Source organism: Homo sapiens, chromosome 5 (genome assembly GCF_000001405.40).
Source record: "Homo sapiens chromosome 5, GRCh38.p14 Primary Assembly".
Classification (NCBI taxonomy): domain Eukaryota; kingdom Metazoa; phylum Chordata; class Mammalia; order Primates; family Hominidae; genus Homo; species Homo sapiens.
Window position 1 is genome coordinate 64,556,065 of NC_000005.10, and position 20,918 is coordinate 64,576,982.

At 36.8% G+C, this 20,918-nt stretch overlaps 1 protein-coding gene and 1 pseudogene across 6 annotated transcripts in view; both read left to right on the forward strand.

Moving 5' to 3' along the window:
- The window catches only part of RGS7BP (regulator of G protein signaling 7 binding protein), a 106,305-nt gene that overhangs the window by 50,050 nt on the left and 35,337 nt on the right, over window positions 1–20,918 (forward strand). For 3 of the 6 annotated variants that reach the window (XR_948251.4, NM_001029875.3, XM_005248502.5), the window contains exon 3: window positions 19,710–19,840. Coding sequence is in view for 4 of the 6 variants with exons in the window: in NM_001029875.3 (NP_001025046.1) it covers window positions 19,710–19,840 (131 nt within the window). In the remaining 2 variants the exon portion in view is untranslated. Of the gene's footprint in view, window positions 1–19,617; window positions 19,841–20,918 lie in introns of those variants that run through there. The other 3 variants (NR_073511.2, NM_001271890.2, NM_001271891.2) reach the window with 1 other exon arrangement.
- RNU6-294P (RNA, U6 small nuclear 294, pseudogene) lies at window positions 17,505–17,606 on the forward strand (annotated as a pseudogene).

A 20,918-nucleotide genomic window follows, 5' to 3' on the forward strand; every position in this document is an offset into this window, starting at 1 on the left:
TTCTGCTTGATACTTTAAATTGTTCCTCAATGATTATATCAATTTACTCTTCCATCAATCGGTACATTGCTTCACCTCCTCTTAAACACTTGCTATTTTTGTGTTTTTATTTTTCTTAATCTAATGGGTATCAAATGATATATCTCACTGAATTAAATTTGCACTTTCCTGATTACTAATGAGGCTGAGTATTTTTATGTCATTATTAACCTTTCATATTTCCTTTTCTGTGAGTTTCCTATTTATGTTTTTCCACAGTGGTTGAAATGATTTAAAGTGGAAATGATTTAAAGTGGAAAAATGTTTATGATATCGTGATAAGTAAAAAAAAAAAAAAAGCAATCTTCCCCAGCCACACACACACACACACACACACACACACACACACACACACACAAAATTGGCTTCCAGTGATTTTAACGGAGTAAAAGAAAATGTCCAGATGGTTAGTTTGGAAAATTTGTTACAATTTTTAACTTAGATACATTAAGATAGTGATATTTGGGGAAATTTACTTTTTATCTAAAAATGACTTTAATGTCGCCATAATACTGTTTTCTCATCTTCAAAGAGCAAAAAATATATAGTTTTGCTTGAGGTTTGGGAAAATTGCCCTACCACTTCTTAGCCTTTGTTTTTTAAGTCTTTCTCCTGGCTCCATGTAGACTGGGTGATTATTTTTCTTTATCCCTGCTATTATTTTTATTTGACATTATCCCTTTCTGGTAGAACACTGTGTGCTTGACCTAAAAAAAAAAAATCTCTGTGTGTGTGTGCCTCTGTGTGTGTAAAAGAAAGAATAGAGTGCTGAGAGAAGAAAGGCATTTTGAGATTTGTATCTTTAATTAGACAACATGTTTAAATTGTAAAGGAGACTGCTTTTCATAATTCTTACTAGAGGGAAATGAATTAGTGCACATCACTTGGAGACTTCACTTATTCATATTTTGGAAATGTAACTTAAGTCCACACTGGTACTTGTATTTCTAAGCAGTCAACTTGGAAAATAAATGACATTCTTAAAAAGTGGAACTGCACTGCTTAAAACAACAAACAAAACAAAAACTGTAATGTAAAAACTAAAAAGAAAATACTTCCTGCTCACCTAAATTCTTGGGAAAGAATGGGCTGTATTCTGTAAGATGTTTCACTACAGCACTAGCAGCCAGCATGTGTAAACTTCCACTGGAGAAATGTAGTTATGCTCCCCAACGTACCCAAGCAGATTTGTCCTGATGGGTCCTTTCCTTCTGTCATATTGTCAGCCAGTTTTCCTGGTATTACTCTTTCATTTTCTGCCTGGACCAACTTTCCTAATATCCCTCCCACTCTCTAATGAACGATGTTTTCCATCCTGATACAAGTGCTCTTTGCAGCAGGTTCAGACAGCCCAGCCAGGATACCCAAGACAGACAAGAGCTGTCTTTCTACTTTTTTGCTGAGACTTCAGGTCCCAGCGGAGGCTGCAGCCTGACATCCTTCAAGCACTTTTTATCAGCTGTAGGCATATTGGATATCTGTTATGGATCTCTGGAATTTTAGTGATGTGAGCAGGAACATGACTTTGTGTATCCCCTGCCTTTCCCAGTTGCTTTTAAATGAACACCACTGTAAGTGATGTATTTAGGACAGGAGGCAGAAAGCCTCTGAGTTTATCACTTTTGACTTTGCCCTTGCCCTTGCCTAGAACATTGCCCCTTTCTGGTAATCTCACCATTTGGGACTCTTTGTTAACTCTTATGCTAATTTGTAAAGTGGGTGTTGCTGCCTTTTCTTTGATTCGTAATAAGATGTCAGTTCATATTAAGACTGCTGTGACATGAGTTCAAGGACAAGAAATGAAGGAAGGCCAAAATGAAGCAAAACTTTTTAAACAAGACACTTTTAAAATTAGGATAAAACCTTGCACAGTAAAACCTGGAGTGCAAACCAAATAGGATTTGCAATCTGAATGCACACCCTCCAGGAGGCCTCCTGGAATAATCTGCCAAGCAATGCTTGGCTTCTCAGGGGTGCCTGTCATGTGGGATGCCATATCACTGTGGGCCTGGAGCCTCCCATGGTCTTCCATCTGCTTAACTTTGAGCTAAGGTGTGTGTTTGGATCTACTTACTAAGATTTTTCTAGTTATCCTGAATGGCATCTGAAAACATTTTTCTCTCCACGTGTTGTCTTGGAATGTGGTTTGTTGCAGGAAGTCAGGGACCCCGAACAGAGGGACCTGCTGAAGCTGTGACAGAAGAACATAAATTGTGAAGATTTCATGGACATTTGTTAGTTCTCCAAATTAATACTTTTATAATTTCTCACACCTGTCTTTACTGCAATCTCTGAACATAAATTATAAAGATTTCATTGACATCTTATCATTTCCCCAATCAATACCCTTATAATTTCCTATGCCTGTCTTTACTTTAATCTCTTAATCCCGTCACCTTCATAAGCTGAGGATGTATGTCACCTCAAAACCCTGTGATTATTGCATTAACTGCACAAATTTTTCGTAAAGCCTGTGTTTTTGAACAATATGAAATCTGGGCACCTTGAAAAAAGAACAGAATAATAGCAATGTTCAGGGAACAAGGGAGATAACCATTAGGTTTGACTGCCTGGGAGCTAGGCAGGACACAGCCATATTTCCCTTATTACTGAAAATGGGTAAGAGAAATATCACTGAATTCTTTCCCCAGTAAGGAATATTAATAATTAACAGCCCTGGGAAAAGAATGCATTCCCAGGGGAGGCCTCTAAAATGGCCACTCTGAGGGTATCTGCCTTATGCAGTTGCAGATAAGGGATGAAACATGCCCTGGCCTCCTGCAGCGCCCCCAGGCTTGCTAGGATTAGGAAATTCCAGCCTGGAGAATTCTAGTCAGACCAGTTCTCTGCTCTTGAACCCTGTTAAGATGTTTATCAATGACAATGCGTGCACAGCGGGACACGGAACTTCATTAGTAATTCTAGTTTTGCCCTGACCTTGTGATCTTGCCCTGACCTTCTGCCTTGTGACCTTTTGTTGCTCTTGAAGCATGTGATCTCTGTGACCCATACCCTATTCATACACTCCCTCCCCTTTGAAAATTGCTAGTAAAAACTTGCTACTTTTACAACTCTGGGGCATCACAGAACCTGCTGACATGTGATGTCTCCCCCAGACACCCAGCTTTAAAATTTCTCTCTTTTGTACTCTTTCCCTTTATTTCTCAGAGCGGCCGACACTTATGGAAAATAGAAAAGAACCTATGTTGAAATATTGGGGACTGGTTCCCCCGATAGTGGTTGGATGTTTACTGACACTACTCTTTTGGTTTGTGGAATTAGCTCTATGGCTGTATGTTATATTTGGGGGAACCCTATCAGGTTGCCTGCTTTAAATATCAACCTTACCACTGGCATGTCAACATTATTACTTATTTCCTTTGGATGTTGGGGTGCTAGGTGCCTTCTCATCTTCAGCATTTTCTTAAATGTAAATATCTCTGCTGGCATGTTGTATTATTTCAGGCTAACACCTTAGCCAATGTTATAGACAGAAAATAAAAGCAGAACAGGACCCAGGAATAATGGAAGGGATCAGAGGAAGGAGGAGGACTATAAGAAAATTAGGAAGAAAAGGGAAAGAGGAAGTTCTAGTGGAAGAAATGAAAAAAGGCAAAACAAGCTTTACCGATGCAGTACATTTGCCAGGTGCTGAGCATCCTTCCAATAGTTACATTTTATTTTAATACTGTGTTGTTCCATTGACATATATGTGCATTTATTTGGTATTTACCAAATCAAACATACATGTGGGATTTTAAAAAAATAACTTGTCCACTAAAAGTGTAATGAAAGGCCCTCCTCAAACTAGTTGGTCAAAATCCTGGAAAAACACTCATTTTAGACAAGCACTGAATGGATAAAGGTTTACTGGAAGTAACTGTCATGTTTCAGAAATCATTATTTGAGATACCTGAATTCTAATCAGTCTAAATTAAGCCATATTACATAGCATGTTCATCATTTAATAAGGCACTACATATGTCACACTGGCTGTTTCCTGCAAATAACTCAAACCATGAAATGCCTACTTATAATATCAAACTTTAACCTTATGGTACTTTCTCTATATCTAGCATTTAAAAACAATTTTGTTTTAATGTGTTTACAGACATATGGTTGTAACAGACTAACCCAGTGGTTTTCAAGGTATGGTTCCTGGATCAGCTGGGAACTTAACACAAATCAAATGATCAGGCCCCACCCCTGACCCACTGAATTGGAAACTCTAGGGATAGAGCCCTGCATTCTGTGGTTTAAACCCTCCAAGTGATTCTGATGCACATTAAAGTTTGAGAACCTCCAAGCTGAGTCTGTGGGCTTCAAAGTGAAGTTGTGCAAGATGACCTGAAAGAAAATATCGTAACTTTCTTATTACGTACTCCTTTCCTAATTTCTATTTTTTGTATTTAAAAATATGTCTAATAGTTAATATCATTGTATATATATATATATATATAATCTATCAACAAGTACATATTGTACACTAGAAGTGCATGCTTAATTTTTTATTTATAGAAATGCATGATATACAAAATTTGAAGACCACTTGTCTCAGCATAATATTTGAAAGCTCTTATTTTGTAAATCCAACTGAGCCATTAGTCACTAACAATGTCATATATTTGCATTAATAATCTTCTCACTTCTAAAATGCTTTGCAAATAATTTTCAGTACTCATTTCCACCCTTATGCAGAGAAGTCTCACATTCCCAGTAAAATGATAAGAAGAGGCCATTGCATTGCATCCTGACTCTTGTCTCTCCTTGGGAAAAAGAGAGAATAATGACAGTCCATGAACAGCACTGATGCCACCTTCCCATTTTTCCCTTAATGCATTCATTTTTGTGTGTGCAGAAAAGAGCACAAAAAGTTAGAGAGGGTTCTATGCCCAGTTCTTGCCATATCCTTTTCCCATTCTCATTGCTCTGCTTGGATGCTGGGACCCCTGCGGGGCAAGAGCACCCTGTTCTTGTTTGCAGTTTTCCCCATACCCCCACATACACTAGCTTACACTAGCCTGATGGTCCTCCTGTGCTAGACATGTACACCTCCTTTGTGTTATGTGTTCCTCTGAGCTAGGCAGAAAATAACATTGTACACTTATTATAGGAAAAGTTGAAGAACTAGGAGTAGGGCCAACTTTTAAGCCACAATAATTTAGGGGCTCAACAAAGAAAAAATATAAAATGATTATTTCATTCCTAGCACAATATTTTATAAAATGTATGCTCTCAATAACTATGCCTGGGATGAATAAACAAACATATAAATATAGTTCCAGTCCTGAGCACTCTGCCCTGGTAATGGTATGTACCGGCTAAAATCATAAATGTGGGTTTGAGTCCTATCACTGTGTTTACTCTTTCGATGACCTTCAGCAACTTTCACAACCTCTCTCAAGCCTCATTTCCCTCAATCTGTAAACTGAGGATAGGGATAGCAACTACCTCATAGACTCATTGTGAGAATTAAATGGGATGTAAGTGCTTAGCATGGTGTCTGGCACACAGTAAACTCCCAATAAACATTATTATATTTTGCTAATGCTGAATTGAATGCCAAGAAATAATAAAAGCATGTTCCTAATCTCAAGTTCTTTGTCAGTGAAGCTCACCAAGCTTTTTTCCCTCACTAAATGATCTTACATAATTTATGCCACTTTGAAAATCAAAAGTAATGTCTCTATTGGAGAGACTAACCTAAACGTTTGCTAATCACTATCTCCTCCTGCCCATATGTCTGTCTGCCTGAAGAGCTATTTCCGTTCTTGAGCTAACCATTGGCAGTGGTGCAGAGTCCTTTCATTCTGTTTCACCTAATGGTGCATTATAATTCATCATTAAGAAAGAAAGAAAAAATTATATGTAGGTCTCCACGGTGGAGCCATTTAGTTGAAAACTTGTTGGCAATAAAATGATACTACATCAAGGAAGGAAATAAAGGACTGCAAGTTTTCTATCACTATTCAGAAAAATCAATTTGTGTTAGAGGAGACTTTACAATAGGTTATCATCAAATGAAAACAACATAGGATAATAATGGGAGTCTTCATGAACTCTTAGGAAAGGACTCCAGAAAATGTAATGCTTTTCTTTTTTTCCCCAATTTCATCCTTTTTTGAATAGCAGGGACTCAATAAATAATATTTGAATCAGTAAGAAGAAAGCCTGTAACAAAGATATAAGGTTCTCTAGGCATAATGTACAGAATTGCCTCCCTGGAACACATCCTCCATTCATTTCTGCTTGTTATGACCTTATATTTTCCATATATTATTTCACTTAAACCTTTTTGACAATGCTATGAAGTGTTATTATACTGATTTGAGGCACTGAGAGATTAAGGAACTTGCCCAAAATCACACACTTGTAAGTAATGAAATTAAGATAGAAACCCAGGGAGGGCTTTCTGACTCTGGAGCATTTATGCTTCATGTGGAGGCTAGAAGGTGGCCTTCATGTCAATATTCTTTCCTCTTTTTGAGGAAGTGTGAACTCCCACAGTCAAGTGGACTCTCCTCCCCCAGCACTGTTGTTGCTTTCCTTCACCAGTGTGAACACTCTGAAGTTACTAGCCTTGTCCCTTTGAAAACAGTACCTGTACCACAGGGACCCAAATCCATGGCCCATCCAGCACAACACCGTTTCCAACAGTGAAACCAGGTGAGCTGGTGGGTGAGCAGGACTGGGCATCTTCCACACCGTCAGCCTTGAAAGTTCAGTTTGATCCATTTCAACAAACATGGATGGAGAGCCTTTAATGAGCCAGGCAGTAAGCTAGGTGCTAGGGAAAGCCAGATAATGAGTAAAACTTCCTGTTCCTAGGGATATTGTAACCTAAGGATCTGTATCTGATAGAAAACACATTTTCTAAGAATGTTGCCCCTCCCTCTCACACTCCCTTCCTGTCTCCCCAGCTGCTCCTTTTTCCTGCTTGCACCCTCTCCCTGGATCCTGATGAAAAGTCACTTTGGAAGTCTAGCATTGGCACACCTGTGATTTTAAATCTAGGATGATACATTCCTTGATTACTTTAAAGGGTAGAAAGGGAAAGTAGGGTTAACTACTCAAAACCCTAGTGTATTATAGATAAAGATCTCTCATTTATGAATTAATCTTTGAACGCATTTATACTTTGAGCCTGGACAATCTGGTATGGTTTCTTAAATTCATCAACTGCTTTTTCAAATAGCAATGTTATGAATTGAATTGTATGTCCCCCAAATTCATATGTTGAAGTCTTAGCCCTTATTTGGAATGTGACCTTATTTGGAAATAAGGTCATTGCTGATATAATTTGTTAAGATGAAATCTTACTGGAGTAGAGTGGGCCTCTAATCCATCATGACTGATATCCTTATCAAAAAGGGAAATGTGGACATGCACACACAGAGAAAGCTCTGTGTAGGTGAAAGCAGAGGTTAGGATGATGCTTTTATAAGCCAGAGAACTTCAGTGATTGCCAGAAAACTAACAGATGCTAGGTAGAAGCACAGAGCAGTTTCTTCCTCACAGCCCTCAGTAGGAGCCAACCCTGCTGACACCTTCATCTTGAACTTCCAGCCTCCAGAGCTGTGAGACAGTATATTTCTGATTAAGCCACCTAGTTTGTGGTAATTTGTCATGGCAGCCCTAGCAAGCTAATACACAATACGATTACTTTCTTCTAAGTGTGTTTATTTTGAAACTAAAAGGAATTCTTGGAGTTTCAAAAATAAGTCTGTCGTGTTTCTTTGACATCCTTCAAGATAATATTAACTTGGATTTTAGGGCTTCACAGCCTGTGTCTTTTTAGTCTAAACATTTCTGCACTTCTTTTATTTGTAATTGTGTGTTTTTCTCCCATTTTTTCCTTCACAGAGAAGTCCATCAATGCACTTCACCTGAAGGGTATTAAACATCAGCTTCACTGTTGTGTTAGTGTTAGCATCACTCTCTAGTCAAAAGAGTTAACTCCCTATCTCTTAACATTGAATAGGAGAATTAAGTTAGCCAAGATTGAAGTGGTTATTTTAAAGCAAATGACCTAGAAAAAACTTCAGTCATCTAGTCTACAATGCTACCATACTCTTAATACAGTTCCATATACCACCCTGCCACTGGTCATGTTCTGCCTCACTCTGCCCACAAACACTGCAGTTAATTCAGTAACTGCCATTGGGGAAGTATTTCCAAAGTTCTATTTTTAGAGGAACTGAAGCCAACTACACAGTTTCAAGGATCTTTGCTGGTTTTCTTTAATATGCTTCTTGGTTAAGTGATAAACTGAATTTTTGCTTCTTGGAATAAGATCAGAAGGCTTATTTTGCTATATTTCAAATATGTGGCTTATTTCATGATTTGGGCTCTTGTTTGTTGAAGAACTTTTGAAGCTTTTTAATAATTATTTTCAGTTATAATTCACGATTTATGAGAAGGGTACAGATTGTGATGAACTTTTTATACACCCTTAAGTAATTAACAAGTCTTAATCTCCAATTTTATGTTTCATATCAAAGAAAGCGTTTTTATTGAGGAAATTCTACTCCACTAAAATTGATGCAAGCATTTGCTGCCTGCAGACTTACCTCCTAAAATGTGGTTGTTTGGTAAGCTCACTTTGCAGACTGTTATATATCCTAATTCCTTGCGCTGTAAGCCAGCACTAGCAAATCTAGATACAGCAGAAGCCACGCTGATACAGTCAATATGTGAAGCAGTCTGGGCGGGGGTCTCTGGAGAACTGGGGAGCTTCTGCTTGTCTAAAAGGGTGGCTATTCCTCAGAAACAGTTAAGTGCTGCCACTCCAGAGCAGGCCTGTTGCCATCATCTTCTGACATTAAGAAACACAGGAAATCCAGATTGTTGTGTGAATTCATGAACAAAAGATTGACCACTGCAAGCCAAATGAAACAAGTTTGTGGCCACATTTGGACCACATGCCACTAGTATGCAATCTCTGCATCAAACTATTATGAGTAAAGAAGAAACTTGGACAAGCATCTGAATGCATTAATCTTTTTCCGTACATAACCATACTGGAGACTTTATTATGAATAACTTCACTCATCACAACAACACTATCAGCTAGGCACTGTTATCCTCAATTTATAGATAAGAAAACTAAGACTCAGGAGGCTAATTCACTTAGAAAGGGTAAGCTAATAGGTGGTATGTTGTTAGGTAAAAAAGTGAACTCCAGTGTAATACATATATTATATGCTGCTTACTTGCTCTCTCTTTCTCTCTCTATATACACATATATATTTGCCTGTGTATATGTATATTCATATACTTATTTTTTAATCTGCAAGGAAATATACAAAAATGTTAGGATGTTTACTTCTGGCATAAATCATCTTTTCCCCTTTCTACGTATCTGCATAAAAGTTCTGTTTATACGTATTATTTTTTATAAAATAGTTTTTTTTAAAAAAAAGAAGGCTTCAGGAAAATAAACCCTCAAGAAGCCAATCTCTAGTGATGAAATGGAACTGATGAGGTAGAACCAGCACCGTAACCCCAGCCTTCCAACTTCTCACACCACATAGGCACTGCTTTTAAAGCCACCTTGGAATTGTTTTATTTCGTAGGTACCAGACAACATGTTAAGGGTTGGGGATTACAGAGATACATAAGATAAACTTTTTTTTAACTCAAAGAGTTTACAGTCCAGTGAAGAAACTCATGGTGGAAGATGATATTTTCCATGTATATAGATACTGGCCTCTTCTGTTTGCATAAAGCATGGGCCTTTTTGTAGAAAATAGATTTTACATCTGTCTAGATATATACATCTCATATTGGCATGAAGTGTCATTTTTGACAATTATGCAAAAAAATGGAAATTATCATTGCATGCCAGTGAAAAGACAATAACACTCCAGGATCCAATTAGATATAATGTGTACAGAATCCCCAGTGTTGGGTAGGAGTCTGAAGCTGAAAAAGACTGCAAAAGGCTGGGGAAGAAAGCTCTAACTATCCTCTAAATTCATCATATCAACTAAAGCATGAAACAGAGCTAAGCTGGCAGCCCTGGGTCTCTGGCACATAGTAGAAGCTCTCTGTTTTTGCTATTATTATTATTAGTATGATAAACAGATGCCAACTTACTACCCTCTTCCTAAACCCTCCTCAAAGAGCTGTTGACAGCTGATGTGATACCCTGGTTCTTGTTTTCTTAGTTTAAAATAATTTAAACGAGGGGCACACAGCAAGGGAAATGCAGCATAGAGTAATTTATTGCAAAAGAAAAAGAACATCTTGTAAGTTAGGTGCAGAATAGACAGTACACCCTGAGAGAGAGAGAATTCAGGGCAGGCTGCTTGTAAAAGCGAGACAGCAAAGACTGGCACTAGGGAGACTGCTTTACAGGAGTCTTACATGATTATTCATTAGGAGGTGGGATGAGATGTTACTAGTAAGCATGTTCTGGGTGGTCCTCTGGGTGCACATGCACAGCAGCTATACATGCTTGTTCATACGTTGCATGTCTCATTAGCATCTTAAATCTCCACCCAGGGGAGGTTTTCTTTACTATTAAAATGAGCAAAAGGTCAGTTTGAGGACAAGTAAAATTGAAGTCTACATGCTCTCAGTAGGGGAAATTCCCTACTCAAGATAGCTTTGCTTGAATGAGCTCAATTACAGTGGGAATGCTGGGGTTTATTGTGTAGACTGTATGGTCACCACGGTTGCTGGGTTCTGAGAACATGGTCACTGCCTTTGCTACCTATCCTGCTTCAGAGCCTTTCAAGTCTAATCCTTTTGTGAGTCTAAAAACTGGGATTTCAGGCCTGTGTGGTCCATGTTTGGGGGCCCTTATGGTCTTTCTGTCACCCTGTGGCCCATCGCTTTAGATAAACTGTCTCAAGCAAAGCTATCTTCAGTAGGGAATTTCCCCTACTGAGAACAGATACACTTTAATTTTACCTGTCCTCAAACGGACCTTTTGCTCATTTTCATAGTAAAAATAAACCTCCCCTGGGTGGAGATTTGAGATGCTAATGAGACATGCAACGTATGAACAAGCATGCACAGCTACTGCGCATGTGCACCCAGAGGACCACCCAGAACATTCTTATTAGTATGTAGTGTGGACCACTAATGCGGTCCATGTTTGGGGGCCCTTATTGTCTTTCTGTCACCCTGTGGGCAATCACTTTAGATAAACAGCCTCTCACATGGAAGAGGAGTCCGTTTGGAACTGGCAAACACATGGATTCAACAATCGGGTATTCTATAACTATACAACTTGTCATAATTAATTATTAAAATATTGATCAACATGTTGTGCTGTTACAGTTAAATGAGATGATAGAATAATGTCTTCTTTAAATTAAAATCTCTCTTTTGTAAATCCTCAGTCATCAAGCAAATACCCACTCCCTAGATTCTACAATTAACATTTTACGATACTTGCTTTATTACATATCTACCTGTCTGTTTATCCCTCTGTCCAGCCAGCAATCCATATTATTTTTCTCAAGTTTCAGACATCGGGATCAATTGAATAATTTAAACATAGTCAGCCCAGTTACCTCAGGTTGTTTTAAAGCTGTGTCATTGTTTTTGGCAATATTGATTCCATAAAACCTGTAGCTTTATTGAAGAGAAATACAGCATCACTAACTTAATGACATAATTAAGAATGAAAAGCTAAATACTATTTAAATAAGTCAACAGTTTAATGTATTGACCCCTAAAATTCCAGTGGGTAAATGCAGGAATTAACTGCATACTGCAATGAATGACCCATACTTTCGATATAATGAAAATTAACAAGTTGATTTCTTTCCAGTATAACACATGATAATTGAATGATAATTGACCTTTGAAGAGCATTGATATCAGGTGAAAATAGTAAGCATCAGAGGCTGAAAATCTTGATTTTAGATGCAAAAATATTTTGCAGATTAAAATGTGGAAACCTGTATGTTTCTTTAATTCAAGTATATGTAGCTCTCTTTTAAAATAATATATAGATATAAATAGTTTTAAAATACATATATATATCTTTACATACAAATATATTTAAATAAATACCTTTAAAAATAAACTAATCCTAGCTATATTCGTGGAGAAGGGCTGTGTTCTAGCCATGTAATCCATGGTACTGATTTTCATCCCAGCAGAGACTGAAGAATTCAGCACTCAGACTCTATCAGTCGCAGGCCTGTCTCTGCTAGCTCTGAGAATCACAAGACCTTATAAGACTAAGACCTAAAGAGCTGTTTGCCCAACCGGAAACCATAAAGAGGACAACATTAAGAGAATCAAAGGGAAAAATGGAGAGGCCAAGAGACTCTCAAGCCAAAAAGTGTAGGAAGGTGGAGGAAGAGGCCAAGACAGAATAATAAAGACATTTTATTTTAAAGATTTAAGAAATGGTGCCTTGTACATATTAGTTTTCTCCTTGCCAATAAGCATGAGTTCTTGGAGTGATACTCCTGTCATGAAAACACAAAGTCATGATGTTATCGACCATTAACTCCTTCAACCACCAATGCCCTGAGAAATGCCTAGACCGCCCCTTCAGAATTGCCCCAAATGTCACCGCTTATTCCCAACTTTCCCCAGTATTGCATTAAACAGTTACATTTAAGATGAATAAAAGATGACTTACAATTTAATAGTAGTATTTTTAGTCTTATTTCATTATAAGCATCGAAGGTCAGGGAACTGATGGTTATTGTTTTTTTTTTTTTTTAGTGTTTAAATGTTTAAATATAGTTTTTACTTTTTAAATGAAAAAAAAAAGTGAATAAAGTGCTTAGTAATGCTACCCATTATTTATCAACTCTCCCAACCGGGTCATGGGAAATGGCAAAGGTGCTGGTCGAAGGCAAGCAAGGGACGCAAGGGACAACACGGAGATGGTCACCGGAATATCGCTAGAAACTGTAAAAGGTGCTGGCCCCTCTGAGGCCTGTTGCTTTATATATAGGTCCCCAAAGTAGCCACCAAAAGAAAATTCCATTGCACTTCAGGTTCCCCTTTACTTTCAAAAGTCAAGTTTTATTTCTGACTGAACCTGAATAGCTCCAGGGCAGAGTTTGATCTCAGCTCATGTTCAATGGTGAGGAAGTCACAGAGCCAGCCATATGTTCCCATGAAACAACATGCTGTGAAGAGAGGGGAATTACTGCAATTATTCTTCAAAGGCTCCTGGTGGAATCACACTTGCTAAGGCTCTCTATGAACAAAAAAAAACAACAACACACGTTTCCACCTAAAGCACAAGTTTCATAAAAACTCACTGGAGCATTTTTCTCCATCAGAAAAATGGAGACAAGACTCAACTATAATATGTATAGGTGCCTTGAAAAATGTCTTATTTCTATTTTTCTGATTAACTGGGCTTCTTTTTTTTTAATTGTAGTACTCATTTTGGTATGAAATAGTGTAGTTGTTCAGTAGGTATCTGGCATCTGTTCTGTATTTATGAGAGTCTGTAATTACCTTTAAGAATTTGAAACCAAAATTAATAACTGGGTTTACACACACATTTGTATCTTCCCTGCCCCCAACTATCCAATGATTACGTAGATGTATGGGACCACCTTAAGAAAGCTCCCTCACTGAAGTCATATGAAGACTAAGCACTGAAGCTGTCACTGAGGTTGGCACTGAATTAGGGTGTATCCTTGTAAATGGAATCCATTTGAGAGGAACCAGTGGGCATATTTGAAGAGAGGTCCTGGAGCTCACTCTCCTTGGAGAAGTCATTTAATCCCTTTTCTTCCTATTTGCTCTAAAAAATAAAGCAAATGATACCATCCCCTTCCCTCATCCTGTTTTGGCTTCCTGGGTCTTTCCTTGCCACTTGGCATAATAGCCAACAACAGAATTGATTCCAAAAAGAGAAACTTAGATATATTTGTTGTGACAGGAGTTCTGTTTCCATTTCTGCTAGCTGACAAACCCCGAGTGTTTATCTGTCATCACTAAATTATGTAAAATGCTGAGTGATTGTCAATGAGGTCACACTTTTTTTTCCTCAGCCTAATGGCATATTTATTTAAGCAAAGTCCATATTAGGGAACTGTAAAGCAAATACAGACTTTTATAGAATAGCAGATAATTATAAGTAAAGACTATATTCAAGCAGAAGGCTAAGTAAACACAAGTTTGATATGCTAAAAGGGATTGCAGCCAACTTCTTACCATCCTTTGCCTTTTATACTTGCTTTCCCACACATGATTTCATTTGATCCTTGCAGCAACCTTGAGATACTTCATATAGGTGTTATTCCAATTTTACAGCTGAGGAAACTGAGTCTCGGAGAAGTTAGTTTTCCTAAGATTGCAATTCTAAGGAGCAAACCTATATTTAAATCTAAGTTTTCTAACTCCAAGATTCAATTTTCCTTTCATTATGTCTCACTCCATTCAACTAAATACATAAATCATTACATTAGGGACAGACCATTAAAATAACAAACATTTTGCTGTTTTTTTAAAAAGCTATTAGCAGCTACACAGGTCTCCAAAGTCTGGCAACCTCAGCAAAAGTGCAGACAGATGCAGGGCCAAGACATTTCGTAACTAAAATCCCCAGTGTGTTAACTCCTAAACTTGACCTTACCAATTATAAAACCTCCCAGTGGTTTTGATTAATTTATCCCATGTAATTATTTAGGGAAATGTAAATCCTCAGTCATCAAATAAATACCCACTCCCTAGATTCTACAATTAACATTTTACGATATTTGCTTTATTACATATCTACCTGTCTATCCCTCTGTGCAACCAGCAATCCATATTATTTTTCTGAACCTGCAGACATCAGTAAACTTTACTCATAAACAATTCAGCATACATAGCATTAACTTAGTTCAATATTTGCTTTTGGGTTTTTTTTAAGTAAAATTTGCATGTAATCAAATGCAAATCTTAAGTGTACCATTCGATACATTTTGCCAAATGTATACACCCGTGTAACTAAACCTCCATCTAGATATAGAATATCACCCTCACCCCAGAAAGTTCACTTATGCCCCTTCTCAGTCAATTCCCCACCTCTGTTCTAATATTTACCATCAGTTTTACCTGTTCTAGAGCCTCATATGAATGAAATCATACAGTATTTATTCTTTTGTGTAAGGATTTTCTCATTCAAGATAAGGCTTTTGTGATTTATCTATGTTGTTTTGAGGATCAGGAGTTAGCTTCTTTTAATTGTTGAGTATTATTCTATTGTAGAAGTGTACTAATTTCTTTAACCATTTTTCTCTTGACAGACACCTGGGCTGTTTCCACTTTGGGGTTAATCTAAATAAAATACCATGAATATTCTTGTAGAACTCTATTTGTGAATATGTTTTTATTTCTCTTGGCCAAATACCTAGAAATGGAATCCAGGTCATAGGATGGGTATATGTTTAGCTTTATAAGAAACTTCCAGAACTTTTTTGAAAGGAGTTGTAGACCACTTAATTCCCACGAACAATGTATGAGCATTTCTGTTGCTCCACATCACCACCAACATTGGGCATTATGAGTCTTTTTTACAGTTAGCCATTCTGGTAAGCCTTTGTCATATTACTTTTTGAACCACAAAATAAGAATATTCACAATAGAGAGAGTTTCCATTATCAAGAGGCAACTTAGGCAAAATCTGTATTCATGTCATCCTCCTCCTACAGCAGTTCAGTTTTCCTAAGCTATATGATTTAGTCATTAAATCCTGATCTGTAAGGAGTTAGTTGAGAGCAGATTTATAATTTGGTCATTATTTTAAATGTTTTTGGATTCATCTTGAACTCTAAAGCACTGAAATTTTGTAGAAGTTAATTCTTAGGGTTTTTTCTATCAATACTAAGGCTTTGAAATTAATCAAAATGGTTAAGCTCTTGACTTACACTCAATAGAAAAAATAAATAATCACAATCTAGTCGCTAACTCATAAAACATATTTGACTGAATTAAATGAATCACCCCCAGGGGTGACTCTCATAGACCTAAACTCTGATTAATTAGAGTGAAACGTGTTAGACTAAACATAAGTAACATGTGGTAAAGTTACCTCTAAGTTAAGTTACTTCCAATTCCTGTAGGAATTACACAGGTCCAATTTCATTTTAATATAAATGTTTCCTAAGGTTTTGTAATTTATCCCTAGGAAGTTTCCAGCTTTTAAATTGCTGTTTTCTTAGCTCTTCTTTCATTCTCCATGTTTCAGCTCTTACTCATTTGTTATGAAAATAACGCAAATGCTCTTAATGTTTCCCAAAAATGTATTTCAGTTCACTGCTTATAACATCAGACATATTATAACTCATTTGACAACTTGCATTTCAATGAACTTTCAGTAATCACTAACAGTAATAAATCTTAAAGCTCTAAAGAGGAAGAAATAAATTGTACAAGGCCTGAAGTTAATGTAACTTAGTCTAGGCATCATGAAACTCTAACATAAAAGATACCTTAGCTTTTCCACTTTTCTTTAAATAGTTCCTTTCTTTCTCTATATTTCAATTTCCCAAGACATTAAAGGACAATATATGAGTGTATATGTGACTTTGTTAACCAGAAGATTTATGATGCAACCTTAGCATCAATTAATTTTTGTTAGGCAGATGGGATTTCTGGTGGCACCTATTCAGTTCTTCTTGCAACAAGTTTGAGAATCTCTGTAGGTTACAGAGGCATTTGGGAGATGGCACCCAAAGCAATGTTTTGAATTAGGCATTTTAATCTGTTTTGACTTGCCTTTTCTTTTTTTTTTTAATTTTATTATTATTATACTTTAAGTTTTAGGGTACATGTGCATAATGTGCAGGTTTGTTACATATGTATACATGTGCCATGCTGGTGTGCTGCACCCATTAACTCGTCATTTAGCATTAGGTATATCTCCTAATGCTATCCCTCCCCCCTCCCCCCACCCCACAACAGTCCCCAGAGTGTGATGTTCCCCTTCTTGTGTCCATGTTTTCTCATTGTTCAATTCCCACCTATGAGTGAGAACATACGGTGTTTGGTTTTTTGTTCTTGTGATAGTTTACTGAGAATGATGATTTCCAATTTCATCCATGCCCCTACAAAGGACATGAACTCATCATTTTTTATGGCTTCATAGTATTCCATGGTGTTTATGAGCCACATTTTCTTAATCCAGTCTATCATTGTTGGACATTTGGGTTGGTTCCATGACTTGCCTTTTCTCAGAAGCACCTAATACATTGCTTTACCTCTCTTTTTCTAGCTGTAAAATAATAAACTAAATATACTGGTTCTTAAAATATGTTAATATGGTAGTCATTTGTTTAAATTACATAAAATGTCATCCATATATGAAGTTTGCGTATTTTTGGAGCTAAGCCCCACTAGGCACATATTTTGTACTTCCGAAAATAAGAATGTTCCATGGCTTGGATGCTACTGTACTGGCTAATTGTCCCACTCATAAAATGTACAATACATACAACAGATTTTTAAAAGGTTTTAAAGGTTTTAAAAAAAAAATCTGCATATGAGTGTTCAGCATCACATACACTAAAATTGAAATGATACAGAAAAGATTAGCATGGCCCCTAAGCAAGGATGACATGCAAATTTGTGAAGCATTATATTTATATTGTTCAAAGTTACAGTTAGATAGAAGGAGTAAGTTCTGGTGTTCTATTGCACAGTAAGTAGCATGACTATAGTTAACCATAATGTATTTTATATTTCAAAATAGCTAGAACAGAGTATTCTGAATGTTCTCACCACAAATAAATGATAAATATTTGAGGTAATAGATCTGTCAACTACTCTGATTTAATCATTATACAATATATACATGTATCAAAACATCACACTATATACCATAATATGTACAATTATTATGTGTCCATTAAAAATAAAATAAAATTTTAAAAAATATCTGCCTATGAGCCACCAGGGCCAATGTTGTATGTAGGTGAAAATAGGCAGCTGATGTTGGGATGATGAACCAGCATAGAAAAGACCTGTCTGCCTTAAAATATTTTCCCTTTACCCTCCTTTTAGATTAAGACATTATCTTCAGATTTTGCTCTGAAAATAAATGTATTAGTAGATAATATACAAGGATCAATTTTTATTACATGAACCATTAATGCCCATTATCTGTTCAGAATCTAGCAGGTCCATGAGGGAATAGGACACAGTCAGAGACTGTGAAAGCTGAAGACGAGATGAAATAATCAGAGGGGTGTGTATGTGTGTGTGTGTGTCTGGGTGTATGTGTCTGGGTGTGTGTATGTCTGGGTATGTCTGAGTGGGGTGGGATGGGAGAAACGGAGGACAGCTTGAGAGTGGAAGGCATCTATGGGAGGATGCTCTGAAAAAAACCCCGATATTTTCCCCAGAGATACTTTTGCTTCCTATGTTGGCCTAAGGTGGCACCCACGAGACACAAATGAGAAAATAACACCTTTCAATTTTCAGATAGAGCCAAATTTTGTGTGCAGGCTCTTTTGAGGTACTTTATTCTGTCTGACACAGTTAAGAACATGTGCAGGCATCACTGATGCTGAGGCTAAGAATTTTGCATTTTCTTGTGTTATATAAGCCATATGGTTAGATCAACTCTTGCTCATCGACTAAATAAGTATTGAAAATGAAAAGTAATTATCATTGTAATGTGCTGTGTACACACAAATTCTCTTTAGTGTGATTCCAGAACTTGAAGCCATTATTTTTATCTAATAATTACCTCCTGATATATTGCCACTGACCCACATTACAAAGAAACCAAATCCAAATGCTATATTTAAAAATCAGATTTCATTGCATTTTAAATTAATAGCGATGGAAGTAAAGTTAACTCATTAAGACATTTGATAGAGTTCACTTTTAGGCTTTCTTTTATTTCTAATCTATCTCTAAACTTTATCCCTTTTATTTGATTTGTTTTATTCAACACATGCTATTTTAGTTGCATATAAAATAAAGTATTATTTTATCAACTAGTTTTTTTCCCCTTAATCAAAAACAAAAGTGATTGCTCCATGTTTTATCATTTATATATGTTTTATCATATTTAATAGAGAAATACACAGGACTTTAGAATAAATTTTAGAGCATAAGTTCAGTGTTTATTTAGCTTTAGATTGTTAAGTATAATTATTAGAATTTTATTACTTTTTTCCATGAAATTTTAATTTTTTCATTAAAAACATTTGGTCTTTCATAAATTAGCCACAGCAAACAATAAAGGAAGAATCTTTAGACTGAGACAAAAAACCTTGATAAAAATAATTTGTAAATTGCTCTCTAATCACATTATACTAGGGCCCTAATATTAAAGAGCTGTCTTACAACTGGTAATTGAATTGCTCTTGTCAGTTTCTCTAAAAACAAGGGTTTTTAATCTCTTCTTGCAGGCTAGGAGATTCTTATGGTTTTTGGAAATTTGTTCCAACAGCTCAATTGAAGATGTCTGATATTTTCAATTATGTAAAGCATTTATGATTTTAAGCTCCCGGCAGAACTCTGCTGCTGAAGGGGAAAAAAATTAAGAACTGTTAGTCAGAAAGAGACTTACATAAGAACTGTCACATTGGTCATTGGTTTGAAAGCAGGAAGTCCTATATTTTAGGATCAAGGCTTTAAGGAATCTTTATTGAGCATTTTTCCCTCTCGGAGCTGAGACAAATGGCTGATGAGTGAAATCTTGAGAATGTTCACAGCTTTTCTCTTTCATTCTGTTGCAGCCCGGAAGATGGTGAGATCCATCCAGAAATCTGTCGGCTTTACATCCAGCTGCAGTGCTGCTTAGAAATGTATACCACAGAGATGCTAAAATCCATATGTCTGCTGGGGTCTCTTCAGTTTCATCGAAAAGGTATCTACATTTAATATTGCCGGAAACACTGAGGAATGTTGAACAAAAGCTAATCTTTGGCAAAGTGTCCGTATATACCATATCATATGCCTATCTATATGCAATTACGATGAATTTAAATGTTCAGGAAATGCTTGCTATATAAATGAATAAGAAGTCTATATCAGTACTATTAAGTGTGTACTAACACTGATTGTTTTGAACAGAAATTAGGGCAGCAACAGTTCTCAAATTTATTATTTTAGCTGTTGTGAATATGACTTTTGTTAGATTCAGCATAAACAGCAAGGTATGTAGTGATTTCACTAGGGGAGTAAATGCTATCCAAGAGTGCTATTTTCCTAAATGAATTAAGTTGCAAGAAACAAATTACATAGTGTCCCAAAGATTTAAAAATAGAGGGAACTCCATAAATAACAGGGAGGTTAGTAATAGATAACCTCATTCTCTGGCTTAAACCATAAAGGAAATAAATTGGCTCAAAGGATTGTACCCTCCAGAGGTTAGTCATGGCTTCAGCATGATTTCATTAGACTTCCAGCTCCCATTCTGAATGATGCTCTGCCTTCTGGGTGTTGGCTTTACCCTCGAGCTGGCTTCCCTCACATTAGCAAACTGCAGCAGTTGCAGTGAACACATCTGCACACCACACTGTCCTCTAAGAGAGAGAACTTCTCCCAGCTACGGAGAAAAAGTTGTGAACTTCATTCTGTTTGGACCAGGCTTATGCCTAAACCAATCACTGTAGATAGCGGGGAGGAATTCCATTGACTGGTTAAGGGCAATCAAGGCCCATTCCTGGAGCTAGAGGGTGGAGTCAGCCCCACCCAACCAGTGGATATTCTGTGGTGGGAGAGTGTGGAATGGGAAGGATGTCACAGAGGAAGCCAAAAGTATCCATCACCAGAAGACTCAACCTGTATTTTCTTCATTAATTCATTGAACAATAATTTATTGGGAACTTCTAGAATACAGTGTTTTTGTGCTTGAGCTCAGAAGAATGGTAGAGCATAGGCTGTGCATAGAAGGTAATCCTTGCCTATGATTTAAATTCAGAGATAGAAAAGGCCAGAGAACT